At 46.3% G+C, this 17,802-nt stretch overlaps 1 protein-coding gene across 3 annotated transcripts, besides 1 other annotated feature; it reads right to left on the reverse strand.

Moving 5' to 3' along the window:
* Positions 1-1,122: 1,122 nt before the first annotated feature.
* CHRNA6 (cholinergic receptor nicotinic alpha 6 subunit) lies at positions 1,123-17,289 on the reverse strand. Of its 3 annotated transcripts, XM_047422396.1 has the most exons (7): positions 17,100-17,289; positions 16,855-16,961; positions 13,568-13,707; positions 7,572-7,616; positions 5,431-5,540; positions 4,349-5,327; positions 1,123-1,813 (listed from the first exon to the last, which is right to left on the reverse strand). In XM_047422396.1, exons 2-7 carry the CDS (start codon positions 16,931-16,933, stop codon positions 1,682-1,684), a joined length of 1,485 nt encoding a protein of 494 aa, XP_047278352.1. In that variant the 5' UTR covers positions 16,934-16,961; positions 17,100-17,289; the 3' UTR covers positions 1,123-1,681. The 3 variants fall into 3 exon arrangements, with proteins under 3 accessions (XP_047278352.1, NP_004189.1, NP_001186208.1); NM_004198.3 differs by having other exon boundaries at positions 16,855-17,289; NM_001199279.1 differs by lacking the exon at positions 7,572-7,616 and having other exon boundaries at positions 16,855-17,289.
* Positions 17,112-17,181: an enhancer, noted in NCBI's record as "active region_27315". NCBI's record gives its function as "activates an Ori minimal core promoter by ATAC-STARR-seq in GM12878 lymphoblastoid cells {active_cell/tissue: GM12878}" and the evidence as "EXISTENCE:reporter gene assay evidence [ECO:0000049][PMID:35858748]".
* Positions 17,290-17,802: the final 513 nt, after the last annotated feature.

Raw genomic sequence — 17,802 nt, forward strand, 5'->3', positions numbered from 1 at the left:
CAGCTACTTGGGAGGCTGAGGCAGGAGAATCGCTTGAACCCCCGAGGCGGAGGTTGCAGTGAGCCGAGATCGCACCATTGCACTCCAGCCTGGGCAACAAGAATGATACTCTGTCTCAAAAAGAAAAAAAAAAGAAAAAAGAAAAGAAAAGAAATAACTTTATTTTCAGTATCAGTACAATGAAGAAATGAAAACTGTTGATGAAAAAAGACTAGACTGCCGGGCACGGTGGCTCACGCCTGTAATCCTGGTACTTTGGGAGGCTGAGGCAGGTGGATCACTTGAGGTCAGGAGTTCGAGACCAGCCTGGCCAACATGGTGAAACCCCGTCTCTACTAAAAATACAAAAATTAGCCGGGCGTGGTGGCACACACCTGTAGTCCCAGCTACTTGGGAGGCTGAGGCAGGAGAATCACTTGAACCGGGGGAATCAGAGGTTGCAGTGAGCCGAGAATGCGCCATCACATGCCAGCCTGGGCGTCACAGCAAGACTCTGTCTCAAAAATAAAAATAAAAATAAATTAAAAAGACTAGAAAGACAACTTTTTCCAACCCACAACAAAGGGGTTGCTTTAGGCTTGCCTGGACACGTCACGTCATGTTCTCCTATTCTGGTTGCTCTAGTGACATTCCCCAGATGACATCTGGCCTGCAGTCTTCATAGCTACGACTTTTCCTAAGAAGCTACAAGCACTTGTGGGAAAGAACCCATTGCTTGTCACCCTTGCAATGCCTAGCACAGTGCTGAGTTTCCACTTAAGCTTCTTGCCAGATGAATGCTAAGCAAATACAGCCTGTTGAGAAAGACCCTATCTGGTAGTTTTTATTTATTTATTTATTTTTGAGACAGGGTCTCACTCTGTCACCCAGGCTGGAGTGCAGTGGTGTGATCATGGCTCACTGTAGCCTCAGCCTCCCAAGCTCAAGCAATCCTCCCCATGTCAGCCTCCCAAGTAGCTAGGACCACAGGTGCAAAACACTACAGTGGCTAATGTTTTTATTTTTGTAACACAGGGTCTCCCTATGTTGCCCAGGCTGGTCTTGAATTCCAGGGCTCAAGCAATCCTTCTTCCTCAGCCTCCAAAGTGCTGGGATTACAGGCCACCACACCTGACCAAACTGTTTTTTTTTTTTTTTTTTTAAAACTAACAATCAGTGTATCAAATAATGCTGAGGAGGGTGAGTTACATTACAGAGACATGCACAAGAAATCAAGGATGCAATAGTTCACAAAGTGTTGCAAACAGTTCACAAATGTTGCATGGTCCAATTCCCAGAGTTCACCTGTCACATGTCATAATACTGAGAAACAGCATCCACTGGAGGTACAGCAGAACTTTTTAGTGTGGCTTGATGTTAATTACATAATTAGGCTGTATTGTAAGTCATTCTTGTCTTTAGAAGCCAAACACACAGACACGAGAAACCTGACCTGATACTGTAGCCGTGGGTGCTGCCCAATCAGGGCACTAATGTCATAACACTTCTCACTTCTCCCCCTGTGCTACACTGGAGGATATTCTGCTTCCTAATGTGCAAGAAAGTCCTCTTTTTCCATGTAGCCATCAGTTTTAGCAGATGGGGGACTTGGGTGGGAAGCCTTTGCTTTCCTTTCCTTGTGGCAGGGAATGCAGAACAAATATGGTGTCTGTAAATTTCTGAACATAAAAGAAAATACATTTTAAGATTTTCCTGTGTTCCCAAGTAGTGGCTGTAGAAATAGCCCTGCAGTTCCAAATACACAGACAATTATAAATACCCAAAGAAATACTCTGTCCACCACCATGGCCACGTATTTCCAGTCATCTTCTACCTGAAATGCAAACAAAAATTAAGAGCTGTTTTAAAAAACCAAAACCATAAGAAACATGCCTTGTTTCATCAATAAGCTGCTTCTTTTTTGAAGAAGATTTCTCCGGCACGTTTTAAAGCAAATATCAGCTGGGTGGGAGGATCATCTGAGGTCTGGAGTTCAAGACCAGCCTGGGCAACATGGTGAAACCCTGTCTCTACTAAAAATACAAAAGATAGCCAGGAATGGTGGCATGTGCCTGTAGTCCTAGCTACTCAGGAGTCTGAGGCAAGAGAATCGCTTAAACCTGGGAGGTGGAGGTTGCAGTGAGCCACGATCACACCACTGCACTCCAGCCTGGGTGACAGAGTAAGACTCCATTTCGAAAAATAAATAAAAATGAAAATAAAGCAAATATTGGTATTTGGTGAATCCAGGTCTCCTGTACAGGACACATAAGAAATTTTGTTTCGTTTGCAGAGGGCAGATGCACAGCCTCTGTGAGTGCCTCAGACAGCAGAGTCTGCGGCAAAGCCCTGACTCCGTGGGTCACCAGGGACTTTCCCAACTGCAAGAAACGCTCCAGAGAAGCAACTGCTCAGAGAGCTAGACTCATTCTTTGCAACGGTGGGTAGTCTGGCTCCATGGCAAGTCTGGGGAATGAGTTTGAGGCAGGGGGTGCCACTGGGGGCGGAGGACATGGAGGGGTATGATTGAGAACCACTTTATCAGGAATAGGCAGCCCTCCAGCCCTCAAAGGGATGCTGGCCATGGAGAGCTGGTTGTGTTTCTCCCAGTTCCTGACCCTCCAGCCTTCTGCCACTGTATCTGTACTTGTGTCTTGAGAGCCCTAACTGGTAGTGATTAAGTCAACAGCAGCTGTTTCTTCGATTAAAAAAAAAATGTTAGGGACAGGATTTTGCTGTGTTGCCCAGGCTGAAGTGCAGTGGTGCGATTGTGGCTCACTGGAACTTGGAACTCCTGAGCTCAAGCAATCCTCCCGCCTTAGCCTCCCACATAGCTGGGACAACAGGCTTGGCAAATTTTTTTAAATTTGTTTTTTAGAAATAAGGTCTCAATATGTTGCCCAGGCTGGTCTCAAACTCCTGGCCTTACTTAAACAATTCTCCCGTCTTGGCCTCCGAAAGTGCTGCAATTACAGCCATGTGCCACCATGCCCTACTAATTTTTGTTTTTTTTGTAGAGAGAGGGTCTTCTTTTAAATTTTATGAAGGTGAATTTTTCTGGGCTCTCTTGTCCGGTGACACATCTGCATGACAGCCATTCACAGCATCTTCCTTCTACACCAACAGGGCGGACTTTCGGTTTCACAGTATCCTTTCACTAGGAGCGATGGCTGCCAGCAGCTGCAGTCCGAGGTCAAACCTAGACACCAGGCCTGAGTTTCAGATGCCTTCCGCTAGTCACCCACATGGTGTGGGAAATTGGCATGATTCTCTTGAGCTCTGTCTTTGGAAGCTGAGGGAGGTACATGCTGCTATAGTTAGACTCTGGACAGCAGGAACAGAGTACGTGAACGCTAAAAATATCCCTGGGGCTCATTTCACCAGCACCTAAATCCCTCAAGTAGGACAAGTGGGGCCAGAGCTGCCGGAACGAATGCACTCTCGCCCTCTCCCACATCTCCCAGCACCCCCAGGCTGCACGCTGCTCCGAACTCATTTCTCCTTCCCTCTGGGGCAGCTTTTCTCTTTCTACCTTTTTATTTGCTGCTGTTTCTTGTGCAGGGGCTTTTTTTTTTTTTTCCTGAGACAGGGCCCTGATCTGTCGTCTATCTCCCAGGCTGTAGCCTCAACCTCCTGGGCTCAAGCAATCCTCCCACCTCAGCCCCTTGAGTGGCTGGGACTACAGGTATGCACCAACACGCCTGCTAATTTTTTTTTTTTTTTTGGTAGTTCAGGGTCTCACTATGTTGCCCAGGCTGAGGCTCTTAGTTTCATTAACTGAGGTTGCCCTGAATGTTTGTTTGTTTGTTTTTATTTTTGAGATGGAGTCTCTCTCTGTCACCCAGGCTGGAGTGCAGGGGCGCCATGTCAGCTCACTGTAACCTCCACCTCCTGGGTTCAAGCGATTCTCCTGCCTCAACCTCCCAAGTAGTTGGGATTACAGGCCTGTGCCACTATGCCTGGCTAATTTTTGTATTTTTAGTAGAGATGGGGTTTCCCCATGTTGGCCATGCTGGTCTCAAACTCCTGACTTCAGGTGATCCGCCTGCCTTGGCCTCCCAAAGTGCTAGGATTACAGGCGTGAGCCACCACGCCCGGCCCTGAATGTTCATTTTAAGCAAATTTTACTTGAGTTCACATTTCTGGAGGTGGAGATTTGCTCTGGGGCTATTGCACCTGACCCCGCTCCACTGGCAGGTCTGACCCTGTCAGTCCACCCATAACCACATAATAACAGAGCCAGGTCTCAGAGCAAGGCCGCCTGACCCTCTCAGGAACAAAAGTCACACTGAAGGTCTGACTGTGCATCCAGAGTGCCCATAGGCTGCAAAGGGTGCAAGCTGGCTGGGTGGAGGGAACACACATTTACCTCCTTGGTTTCATTGTGGCTCTTCATGTTTTCTGCTATGAACTGAACACTGTTAATCACATCTTCAACTTCAGGCGAGTGCTCCGAATTTTCCACCACCCACTGTAATGGCTGATGACTTAATCTTCTCTTGCTTGTGGCAAGCTCATTTGATTTGTGACAATGGAAGCATTCTTTAAGATGTCTGGGTTCCCCATGGCTTGCAAGCTTGCCTTTGGCAGGCCTCCTGGCAAGGCCTCTGGGCACTGCATCAGAGCCTGTGCCCCTTGTCTTGTCCAGAGGCCACCTCATCAGCAGGACCTGGGGCAGCAGCTTCAGGAAAACTGTCTTCACCCACCTGGGCATTGTGTGCGTGGTTGGGGTGCGGTAGTGTATGTTCAACACAAACACAGTCACCACGATGGACAGTGTGACAAAGATCATGGTGAACAGCAGGTACTCACCCACCAGTGGGACCACCAGAGATGTGGATGGGATGGTTTCTGTGATGACCAGCAAAAACACAGTCAGAGAAAGCAGGACTGAAATACAAAGCGTCACTTTTTCACCACAGTCCGAAGGAAGGTAAAAGACCAACACGGTTAGAAATGAAATAAAGAGACAAGGGATGATCAGATTAATCGTGTAAAACATCGGCAATCTTCTAATGTAGAAAGAATAGGTTATATCTGTGTATATCTCTTCACAACAGTTGTATTTGATGTCATGTTTGTAGCCAGAGGCATCAATGATTTCCCATTCACTGTTTTCCCAAAAATCATTCATATCCACTTTTGATCCAATGATTAGAAGATCAATTTCAGCTTTGTCATACGTCCAGGAACCAAATTTTAGGGAACAGTTTTGATGATCAAAAGGGAAAAAGGTGATATCCATAGGGCAGGAACTCTTAAAAATAGCTGGTGGAGTCCAGGTTATCATGCCATTGTATTTAAGAAGAGCTTTTGTTTTGCCTTCTACTTGGAAGTCACCAACAGCACTGCAAAGCAAGTCAGACACCATTAGTAACACTCCCTTTGCTATAGGCCAGAATACACCAACAGCAGCTTTGGAAAGAGGCTACGGTGGTCAGAGACCCATACTTGTTATAGAGAACAATGTCGGGCTTCCAAATCTTATCTGCAGGAACGCGAAGAGTCTCAATGCCATCATATTCCATTGGATCCCAGCGCAATTTATAATCATTCCAGATCTAAAATAAATAGAAATCAGCTTTTAAAATTTCTTAATAACTTTCGGGCCAGGCATGGTGGCTCACGCCTGTAATCCCAGCACTTTGGGAGGCCGAGGCAGGCAGGTCACTTGAGGTCAGGAGGTCGAGACCAGCCTGGCCAGCATAGTGAAACCCCGTCTCTACTAAAAATACAAAAATTAGCCGGGTGTGGTGGCCAGCGCCTGTAGTCCCAACTACTCGGGAGGCTGAGGCAGGAGAATCTCTTGAACGTGGGGGGCAGAGTTTGCAGTGAGCTGAGATCATGTCACTGTACTACAGCCTGGGTGACTCTATCTGGAAAAAAAAAATGTGTTTCTTAATAACTTTCTTCCAATGTTAACTTTATGATGGTTCAACAGTTGTTGTTGAAAAAAGAATACATTTGGCCAGGCGTGGTGGCTCACGCCTGTAATCCCAGCACTTTGGGAGGCCGAGGTGAGCGGATCACTAGGTCAGAAGATTGAGACCATCCTGGCTAACACGGTGAAACCCCATTTTTACTAAAAATACAAAAAAAAAAAAAAATTAGCCAGGCATGGTGGTGGTTGCCTGTAGTCCCAGCTACTCCGGAGGCTGAGGCAGGAGAATGGCATGAACCCAGGAGGCGGAGCTTGCAGTGAGCCGAGATCGTGCCACTGCACTCCAGCCTAGGCGACGGACCGGGACTCTGTCTCAAAAAAAAAAAAAAAAAGTGGCCCGGCGCGATGGCTCACGCCTGTAATCCCAGCACGTTGGGAGGCCGAGGCGTGCAGATCACGATGTCAGGAGATCGAGACCATCCTGCCTAACACGGTGAAACCCCGTCTCTACTAAAAATACAAAAAAAATTAGCCGGGCGTGGTGGCGGGCCCCTGTAGTCCCAGCTACTCAGGAGACTGAGGCAGGAGAATGGTGTGAACCTGGGAGGCGGAGCTTGCAGTGAGCCGAGATCGCGCCACTGGACTCCAGCCTGGGCGACAGAGCGAGACTCCGTCTCAAAAAAAACCAAAAAACAAAAAAAAAAAGTAAAAATAATACATTCTTATTTGAAGAATGCATTGGTTGCTATCAAAATCTGGACAATTATATCCATGGGGAACAGGGAGCTAAATAGCTGAGCTGATTTAGGCAAATATTTCATTAGATAATTATGTATTGATTATTAGTTAGCTGGTTAAAGTTTTAGGCTCAACTTCCATATTCCGTGAGCTATACTCACACTGGAGTATAGCTCTAATATCAAAAAGTTCAAGGGTATGATGATAAGCTTTGAATTAAAAAAAAATCTGTATAAACGATTAAGACTTCCTTTCTGTTTTTTTTTTGTTTTGTTTTGTTTTCAAGACAGAGTCTCGCTCTGTTGCCCATGCTGGAATGTAGTGGTGCAATCTCAGCTCACTGCAACCTCTGCCTACTGGTTCAAGCGATTCTCCTGCCTCAGCCTCCCGAGTAGCTGGGATTACGGGCACCCACCACCACGCCGGGCTAATTTTGTATCTTTATTAGAGACAGGGTTTCATTTCACCATGTTGGCCAAGTTGGTCTCGAACTCCTGACCTCAGGTGATCCGCCCACCTTGGGCTCTCAAAGTGCTGGGATTACAGGCATGAGCCACTGCACCCCTCCAAGACTTTCTTAAGGAAGAAAGGTATAACTGATAAAACCAGCTGCTGGGAATCTCATGTACATGCTCCCAAGCTCAGCTACTGACTTCTCCAAGCCTGGTCAAGCAGGGATCAAAGAGCAGGCAAGCATCAGACCCTGGAGCTCAAGTTACAGAAAAGTGGAAGATCTGAGAGCAGCAACCAGGAAGGATGGAAACCTCTATGTCAGAGGGACCTTTGTCACTAAGTGTCTGCACCTGTGAAGCATGCATCAAGTCAGCTATTACCAGAGCTGAACTTTAGGCTTTGGAGATGACCTAGTGGATAATATTTTATATTCTATAACCAGTTGGAGATGGAACAAGGTAGTGCTTGTGGGTTTTATCCATTCAACATCATTAAGCCAACACATGATATAGGCACATACGTGACGCAGCCACAAATTGGTTTCCATGATCTGGTTTACTTCATCCTGGGAAGAAGAAATAATACTTTTAGCCTCAAATGTGCTTGCCATAGAGGTGAGACTTAGAGCAAAAATTACAACTAAAAAGAACCAAATCTGACTTATTCATGCCAATAGAAGAAGACTTCAAGGCAATGTGTGAAAGCATTCAGCATGCAAGCAGAAATGCCGCATTTTCACATCTGGCTCCAGCCCTGTGGATTTTGAGAGGCAATGTGGCTTTAAACTCTTTCATAGCTGATTTAAGCCTCACCTCTTCTGTGAAGTGCTTCCGATCTCTGCAGCCCATAAAGGTTTCTAGTTCCATGAAAGGAAGGAAAGAAAAGAAGAGCGACAGCAGGTAGGAGGGAGGGAGATGCTGCAGAAAGTGGTGAGGATTCCAACCCCGCACAGTGTTTTTGCCTGTTCCCTAAACGCCTCCCATCCTCGACTGTGCCTCAGGGCTCTCTGGGCTCTGAGTCCTGAGACCCCTGCCCTGGGATCCTATCTTGAAATGCCAGCCTCAGCCAGCTGGGCGCGGTGGCTCACACCTGTAATCCCAGCATTCTGGGAGGCCGAGGCGGGTGGATCACCTGAGGTTAGGAGTTCGAGACCACCCTGGCCAATATGGTGAAACCCCGTCTCTACTAAAAAATACAAAAAAATAGTCAGGTGTGGTGGCGGGCGCCTGTAATCCCAGCTACTTGGGAGGCTGAGGCAGGAGAATTGCTTGAACCAGGGAGGTGGAGGTTGCAGTGAGCGGAGATCGTGCCACTGTACTCCAGCCCAGGCGACAAAGACTCCATCTCAAAAAAAAAAAAAAAAAAAGTCAGCCTTGGCCACCATGGGGTTTCCAGCTGGCAGCTGCTACTCACCCCCAGCGAAGCCACCACTTCGATCGTTCACTACACAAATATTTATTGAGTAACCACTATGTGCTCTATAAATATTGGGAATACAGCAATAAGAAGTTGGGAAAAGGTCCTGCCTTCATGTGTCTTAGCTGTTAGATGGGGAGACATAAAATTACTAATACATCTATACTATAACATAAGACAGCGTTAAGTCCTATGAGGACAAATAAAGAGGGATGGAATGGTCCATGTGTGGACACACACACACATATGCACACACACGCACACTCATACACACGCACACTCATGCACACTCACACACTCATGCACACACATTCATACACACATGCATATACACGGTACTCTCATACACACTCATGCACACTCACACTCATGCGCACACACACTCGTGAACACACAATCATGCAAACTCATATACCCACTCATGAATTCTCATACACATTCGTACTCTTATACGTATACTCTCATACACACACTCGTACGTGTGCACTCACACTCATACACACACACTGGTGCATACTCACTCATGCACATGCACTCACTCATGCACATGCACACGCTCATGCACACACTCATACCCACTCACACTCAGGCACACTCACACAGTCATACACAGGCTCACACACTGGTGCACATGCACACACACTCAAACACACTCATGCACACACACTCACAGTCATGCACACACACGCTAGCACACATGTGCACATGATCTCAGTCACACACACACATCTATTTTAGATGGGATGGGCAAAGAAGGCTTCTTTGAGGAGGTAATGTTTAAGCAGATACTTAAATGACCAGAAGACAGTCAGGGCTGTGTGGAGGAAGACCATTCCAGGTGACATCCCAAATGTAATGAGTTCCTAAGCTACCACCTCTCAGTGGGAGAACTACCAAAGACACACCTGGCACCTTGAGTGGCCTTACAGCCCAGCAGCCTGGTGGCTGTTTATGTCCCCAGTGGCCAGCAGCAGATTCACAAGTCTTCCTCAGCCAACCTTGCTTCCCAAGACACCCAGGCACCCTCCAGAGTAAATGAGCTCCATGGTGGTGGCTGAGGGAGTCGTGGTCAGACTCAGACACCAGCTTCCCCTGGGCCACGTGGCTGCCCTGCAGTTCTCTTCTCCCCTACTCCATCCCCACTGCTGCCCCTTCTGGAAAACTCTAAACAGAAACCCTGCTGGGCTTCCTCTTTCAAATGGGCCTGTGACAAGACAGGGTAAGCCCCGGGATTTGAAAGGTCAGCAAAGGAGTTACAGTCATGGGTTCCTGTAGTCCCAGGAAGCAAAGAAATTATCTGTGCTTATCTATTGGTCAACCAATTCATGGCTTTACGATTACACAAGCCTGCGGTCATGCCTTCTGGTAATGAGCGTCCCCTTGCAATCTGCAGAGTCCAGCAGGGGCCATGTCCATAAATCCACTCACTGTTGGTCAGGAATGGACTAGCCCTGCAGTCTCGGTTCCAGGAAGGCCTTGGGGGTGAGGGCATAAGCCCTAACTGCCCTTCAAAGCCTGCTTTGTCTCTGAATAAGCACACTGTGTTCAGAAGGCTGAGATCAGTTGGCAATAGCCAACTCCACAGCCTCACTTCCGCAGGCTCGGAGAAGCTCCAGGTGGTATGGACATGGCCCATGGGGATGTGGACACCTTCAGAGATGTCAGCTGACCCTATGGAGCAGGACCTGTCTGGCAAGTCATACTCTCTCTCCATCCAATTCCAGATCCCACCAATGGGCATGGCACTGCTATCAGACATCTCTGCCGGAGGAGTCCAAAGACCCACAGCATCAACTCCATTCCTGGTGCCATCACCCTGTACCTCCTTCTTGGAAAAATCAATTAATTGACACAGCAGCTGCATCAAAGGCTTTGAGTTATGATTTCAAATGGACTCATTTCTGGAGCAGCAGCAGACTTGGAGACTCGGATCAAAAAGACCAAGTGGGCTGCATTACACCAAGGCTTTATCTTTGTCATTTCAGATATGCCAGGCCAGCACAAACACTGGATCCCTCCGAGGGGCACTTGGCCTTGCTCCTGTACTGAAAGAAACCAGAAAATTTTCTGGCCAAGGTCATTTTGCATGACACAAACACACTTCCAGGTAGAGCCCTGGTGCTCCAGAGCCAAGCTGGGGATCAGACAGCGGGCCTTTTCCAAGGCCTTCCAGAAGGGAGGGGCAACAAAGCTTCCTGGCTGTGCCACTTCTCTCGGCCACCCCAAGTTCACCTGACAACACACAGCTATTGCACTCCTGGGCATTTATCCCAGAGACATGGAGGTTTATATTTACACTAAAACCTGTACACAAATATTCACAACAGCTTTATTTGTAATAGACCAAAAACTGGAATCAGCTCAAATGTCCTTTAGCAAGTTAATGGTTAAACAAAGCGCCATGGTCCAGGTGTGGTGGCTCACACCTGTAATCCCCACTTTGAGAGGCCAAGGTGGGCAGATCACTTGAGGTCAGGAGTTCGAGACCAGCCTGGCCAACATGGTGAAACCCCGTCTCTACTAAAAATACAAAAATTAGCCGGGCATAGTGGCACATGCCTGCAATCCCAGCTACTTGGGAGTCTGAGGGAGTAGAATCGCTTGAGCCCGGGAGGCGTAGGTTGCAGTGAGCCAAGATCACGCCACTGCACCCCAGCCTGGGTGACAGAGTGAGACTCCATCTCAAAAGCAAAACAAAACAAACAAACAAAAAACAAAGCACCCTGGAGTACTACTCAGCAACAAGAAGGAATGAACTACTGATAACACTCAGTGACTCGGAGGAATCTCTAAAGGATGATGCTGAGGGAAAAACCCAGTCCCACAAGTTTACCTGCTCTATGATTCCAGTTACGTATAACATCGTTGAAATGAGAAAATTTCAGAATTGGAGGGCAGATTAGTGGGAGAAACAGGCAGAGTCTACAAGGGATCCCTCCGTTATTTCTTACAACTGCATGTCAATCTATAATGATCTCAAGAAATAAAAATTCAATTTTAAAAACCTGCAGTTCCAAGTCTGCCTTGCAGCTGGAGGTAGTCAATGAGATGGAAAGCAGCAGCTCTTACGGAAATCACAGAAGTCTAGGATGTACACTTTGCTCTTTTTCTCCCTTCCTTATGTTTCTTGCCAAGAATGTGAATGTGAGGATGGGAATACAGCAGTTATCTTGAACCATGAAGCAACACTGAGGGAAGAAGCCACGTGAAAAGGGTGGTGAAATATGAAAGAAGGAAGGAATCTTGGTCACTGCTGCCTCATCTGGTTTATGCCTTTAGAATCACAGTCCGTTGGAGTGACATCCCCTGGAGTTGTGCGGTGCATAACCTGGGCAACTAAACATACATGTGCAACCACTAACACCGTGAAACTGACTGATATTAATCTCCTGGACTGTTAACCTTTAGATTTCTGTTGCATAAGACAGGAATAAACTTGTTTTGTAAAGGCTGTGGGTTTTCTCTTAATCTCTGATACTTGCAACCAAATGTAAATGTCAAAATCTGCATTTACCAGCCCTTTCACCCCCATCTTCAGAATAACCTCCTGCAAAGGTGTGTCCAGCAGGGTTATGGAGAGACGCCATGCAGTGAGGTAGCCCTCACAGACTTCAGAGGAAACTCAGTTCAGCTCTTGGTTCACAACAACCCAGTCCACAGCAAGAACTTCCAGCCCAGCAGGAGACCAGGAACCAGGACAAAGCTACTGGAGTTGGGAAGGGGATTAGAACAGGCACCAAATAAATACTCACTAAAGGATGGGAGAGCGCATCCAGGTGAGGGGAAACATCTGGCTTTATTTTTTTCAGCCAGTGCATGCACACTTTCAGCCTGGGTCACAGACAGAGGACTGGACCAGGGTTGGCTTCATCCACTGAGAAGCATGGACTGGAGAATGTGGTGGGGTCTGACTCATGCCTGTCATTAGGGTCTTTCCTCAGGTGTACCCAGAAGGGCCACCGCCGCCTCACCCACAGAGCAAAGTCTGGGAGGAAGGAGATCCCTTCCCCATCCATGGCTGGGGCTGACTTGAGCAGGGCTCCCCCTCTGTGTCCTGTAGTCTCAGGAATGCTCTAGCGCCCCTCTCTGGAGACACTTCAGACCTTCCTTGCTTCCTAAGCCTGCATCTTCCTAGAATTTGGTCTGAGCCCTGGAGCCCAGACCTTGCTGTACCCAAGAGTACGGGCCTCGCCACTTCCTCTCCCTGCAATGGGGGGGCGCAAAGATTATCCAAAACAAAGAGCTCCAGTCCTACTTGCCCTTGAACATGGTAGCAAGGAATGAAATTAAGATCCTCAAATTCCCAACCTCTTTTTTTTCCCAAGGCTGAATGGAATTGCATTTTTTTCATTCTCACATAACATAGAAGACTTCATGCAATTCTTTTTTTTTTTCCTCTGTCACCCAGGCTGGAGTGCAGTGGTGCAATCTCGGCTCACTGCAGCCTTGACCTCCTGGGCTCAAGCAATCCTCCCACCTCAGCCTCCCTAGTAGCAGGAGCTACAGGCATGTGCCACTACACCTGGCTAATTTTTGCATTTTTATAGAGACAAGATCTTGCTATGTCGTTCAGGCTGGTCTCGAACTCTTGAGCTCAAGGGATCCGCCTGCTTCAGCCTCCCAAAGTGCTGGGATTACAGGAGTGAGCCACCACGCCCGGCCTTAAAGCAATTTTTAAACTGTGGAGTGAAAAGGGCATGAGCTTTGGAGTTAAATCTCAATTTTGCCATTTTGTAGTTGTATGACCCTGGGAAAGTCACTTAACTGAGCTTCCATTTCCTCAGCAGTGAGATGAAGATGTTGGCCACACAGTGTAAACAGGCGTCTGGTGCATAATGGGTGCCCCGTGAAGTTAGCTCCCTTTCACTCCCCTGCAACTCTTTGTTTCGTAAACTGGTTCTCAAAGCACTTCCAGGAAAAACACTGCCTCACACAGACAGTTACAGCATTGGTGGGAAAACTGCCTGCCTCCCAAATGGATGGCTTTGAAGGGCCAGATCTCGTGTAGATTTGCATCTATCTGTATTTCTAAAATTCCTTCATTTACCACCTGCAAAAGTGTAACAATGCTGGGGAAAGCTCTGATCAGAGGGCACTCACCACGTTGGCCAGCTGGGTGATGGCCACTTCAAAGTGTACCGTGACAGGGTCGGAAACGTTTTCCACAGGCCTGATGAACTGGTTGTAATGAGAAAACAGTTTGTGGAAGAGCCTCTCCTCAGTTGCACAGCCCACACAGCCTGTGAGGCCAAACAAAGGGGAGAGTTAGAGCCAGCCCGGCCACTGGCCACTGCAGCGATTCTAGGCAATTCTTCCCGGGCCCTGTGGGGAGCGAATGTCCCAGCCCATGACTGCATCCTGGTATTGTTACCACCTGTGCGTGCTCCACCAGTGCCCATCTCACCCCACCCTCTGTGCCTCAGCTGTTCACCTTTACAATGGAGATAAAAACAGCAATGTCTGCATTTCAGGACTAGAGCAGTATCAAAGAAAATGATGTCGGTCAGAGCATTTCTTAAAGTCTAAGGCACTGCAGATATAAAGGAGTAGACACAAGGCTTGGAATCTTCACTTATGTCACTGAAGTAACTCGCAGTCTTACTGATGGCACTAGACCCTTTCCAGTAATTCAGGAAAATCCTGTCCTTTCTTGTCTAAAATACTGAATCAACTAAAATCTGTATCTACACCAGCAAGGTGCTTAGCTGGGGAAACTTCACTAAGGAAACTGAAATAACTAGTAATTTCATGATGGTCTTCGCAAGTCATGTTCTTTTAAAAAATCAACTTTGAGGACATGAACAGACACTTCTCAAAAGTAGACATTTATGTGGCCAAGAAACAAGAAAAAAAGCTCAACAACACTGATCATTAGAGAAACGCAAATCAAAACCACAATGAGATATCATCTCAAGCCAGTCAGAATGGCAGTTATTAAAAAGTGAAGAAATAACAGATGCTGGAGAGACTATGGAGAAATAGGAATGCTTTTACACTGTTAGTGAGAGTGTAAATTAGTTCAACCATTGTGGGAGATGATGTGGGGATTCCTCAAACACCTAGAACCCGAAATACCATTTTACCCAGCAATCCCATTACTGGGTATATACCCAAAGGAATATAAATCATTCTATTATAAAGATACATGCATGCGTATGTTCACTGCAGCACTATTCACAATAGCAAAGACATGGAATCAACCCAAATGCCCATCAATGATAGACTGGATAAAGAAAATGTGGTATAAGCCAGGTGCGGTGGCTCACGCCTGTAATCTCAGCACTTTGGAAGGCTGAGGCGGTTGGATCACAAGGTCAGGAGATCGAGACCATCCTGGCTAACACGGTGAAACCCCGTCCCTACCAAAAATACAAAAACTTAGTCGGGCATGGTGGTGGGCGCCTGTAGTCCCAGCTACTTGGGAGGCTTAGGCAGGAGAATGGCATGAACCTGGGAGGCGGAGCTTGCAGTGAGCCAACATCGTGCCACTGCACTCCAGCCTGGGCGACAGAGTGAGACTCCGTCTCAAAAAAGAAAGAAAGAAAGAAAGAAAGAAAATGTGGTATATATGCACCATGCAATACTATGCAACCATAAAAATGAACAAGATCGTGCCCTTTGCAGGGACATGGATGGTGCTTGAAGCCGTTATCCTCAGCAAACTAACACAGGAACAAAAAACCAAACACTGCATGTTCTCACTTGAAACGGGGAGCTGAACAATGAGGACACATGGACACAGGGAGGGGAACACCACACACTAGAGCCTCTTGAGGGGGTCCAGGGAAGAAGAGCATTGGGAAAAATACCTGATGCATGCTGGGCTTAATACCTAGGTGATGGGTTGATCTGTGCACACCATGGCACACGTTTACCTATGTAACAAAGCTGCACATCCTGCCCATGTACCCCAGACTTAAAATAAAACAAAAATCAACTTTGAAATTCAGTTATTGTGGAGATTTCTGAGAATGCAAGATTTTTAAGGCAAATTTATTTGAAACTTCCTTTTTGTTGTTGAGATGGAGTCTCGCTCTGTTGCCCAGGCATGGTCATGCAGTGGCATGATCTCGGCTCACTGCAAGCTCCGCCTCCCAGGTTCATGCCATTCTCCTGCCTCAGCCTCCCTAGTAGCTGGGACTACAGGTGACTGCCACCACGCCCAGCTAATTTTTTATATTTTTAGTAGAGACGGGGTTTCACCGTGTTAGCCAGGATGGTCTCCATCTCCTGACCTTGTGATCCGCCTGCCTCTGCCTCCCAAAGTGCTGGGATTACAGGCATGAGCCACCGCGCCCTGCCACTTGAAACATTTTTAAAAGTTGAAATTGGTTCTTAAATAATAGCACTTTCAGTCACTAAATTCTAGACAATAACTTTATGCATATCTCTTTGTATTTTTCCAAGAAAACCTTAAATGTGGGGTTACTTTTCCTCATTTGACATAATTCATTTCATTACTACCTCCTCTACAATTTCCTCACAGAATTTAAATTTGATATCTAACATAGGACTCCACAAATTTCTCAAAGGGATTTACACATTGAAAGAAAAAAAATGGAAAGGGATTGAAAAGCTCATCAGGCAACATAAATGGAAAGATCTCTGTTAAATTACTAAATGGAAAGAGTTGCCTGACGAATACCTTAGGAAACACTGAGACACTAGAGTTTTAGCAGGAAGGACAAATTTAAGGTAAAACATCATTCTTGCCATCATAATTAATCATGATGAACATATTTCTCCATGACAGACAATAAATAATCCTCCTCATTACCCATTTTCTTCCTCTTTAAGACATTTTATAGCAGATAAACCCTCCATCAGCCTTGAAAAGCAAGTCCCCTGCAAACCTAACAGCATAGAAATGTGATTTTGTTCAGCAGAACAGCAGTGGTCCGTTTCTAAGTTGTAACTTTTAAAATGAATGATCTTACTCATGGGATAGTTTCAGCATAATCACGTGATGTTTCCCCAAACAAACATGATTACCTACAAAATGGAAGGGTTCATTGACTGAGTAATAGTATCAGCTAACAAATAAATTACCACTTTGAAAAAATATTAAACATAACTACAAATAAATAAGCTCAATACAGCCACAGGGGAGATGAATAGAAAACTGTATCATTCTCCTTATTATATTTTAATTGGGTTTGCACTATGTTTCCTGGTCCTCTCCTCCCCACCCTACCCCTCAGATTTCATCTTTTGTATTACACCTAACAAATAAAAACCAAATAGATTAATTAGCAGTTGTAACAGTGGTGGCTCCTATGCAGACCATAGAAACTTTTATTAATATATCTTCTCAAGCACAACTAGAAAAGAGAGTAAACACATGTAGCTAAAAAGGGAATAGAAGATAAAGCAGAAATGAAACCTACCTTTAAAGAAAGGTGTGAACACACACAGCCAGAGACACAAGCCCCCATGAAGGAATCCCTGCCCCTTGCTGGTCAGCATGGTTAAAACACACTTGGATTCCTTTTTCCTAGGCAAAGGATTGTGGAAAACAAAGAGCTATCAGTCAGCCACATGCATCCAACCTTGACATCATCAGAAGCCCACTGCAATCCGTGTGTGTCTTCTCAGAAATCAAAACATCCCCGGGACTTCACACGGTTATTACCAGGATCAGAGACTGAGGCAGACATGAAGGGCGAATAAAAAAGATTCGATCTGATGTCAGATGAGTCATCACATTTCCTGACAGCCTAGATGTCTCTTCATGCAAGAAAGGGGAAGAAAAGCAGAAAAGAAATGCTGGGGCAGACAGGACCCCGGGAGGATGAACACCTGTGAGTGGCTGAGATCTTTCTGTGGTGCAATCTCAACCGTAATCTTAGGGGAATTCACTGAGCTCCAACTACAGGTAAAGCTCATGCTAGGTCCCAACAAGTTTGTTCTGACTCATGGAGTTCTCCAGTTAATCAAGGCTCAACCTTGTTAGAAAACTTTCTAAAATATGAATCCTCATTTCTGTCTTAATGAGTGCAGCTTGGAGAGAACAGAAATTTGTTTTTGTTTTGCTTTTTTCTGACTCCAGGGTTTCCAGTGCCTTCTCTTTTTTGAGTTCAGTGATGATCCATGACTAGAGACTAGATGTCAGAGAATGAGAGGAATGGATACCACCTGGATATTTTCACATTTATTTAAATATTCTTATTGCAAAGCATGGTGGATCATGCATTAATCCCAGCACTTTGGGAGGACAAGGCAGAGGATCTCTTAAGGCCAGGAGTTTGAGACCAGCCTGGGCAACATAGTGAAACCTCATCTCTACAAAAAATAGAAAATTAGCTGGGCGTGGTGGGCATGCCTGTGGCCCCAGC

This window comes from Homo sapiens, chromosome 8 (genome assembly GCF_000001405.40).
Source record: "Homo sapiens chromosome 8, GRCh38.p14 Primary Assembly".
Lineage (NCBI taxonomy): Eukaryota > Metazoa > Chordata > Mammalia > Primates > Hominidae > Homo > Homo sapiens.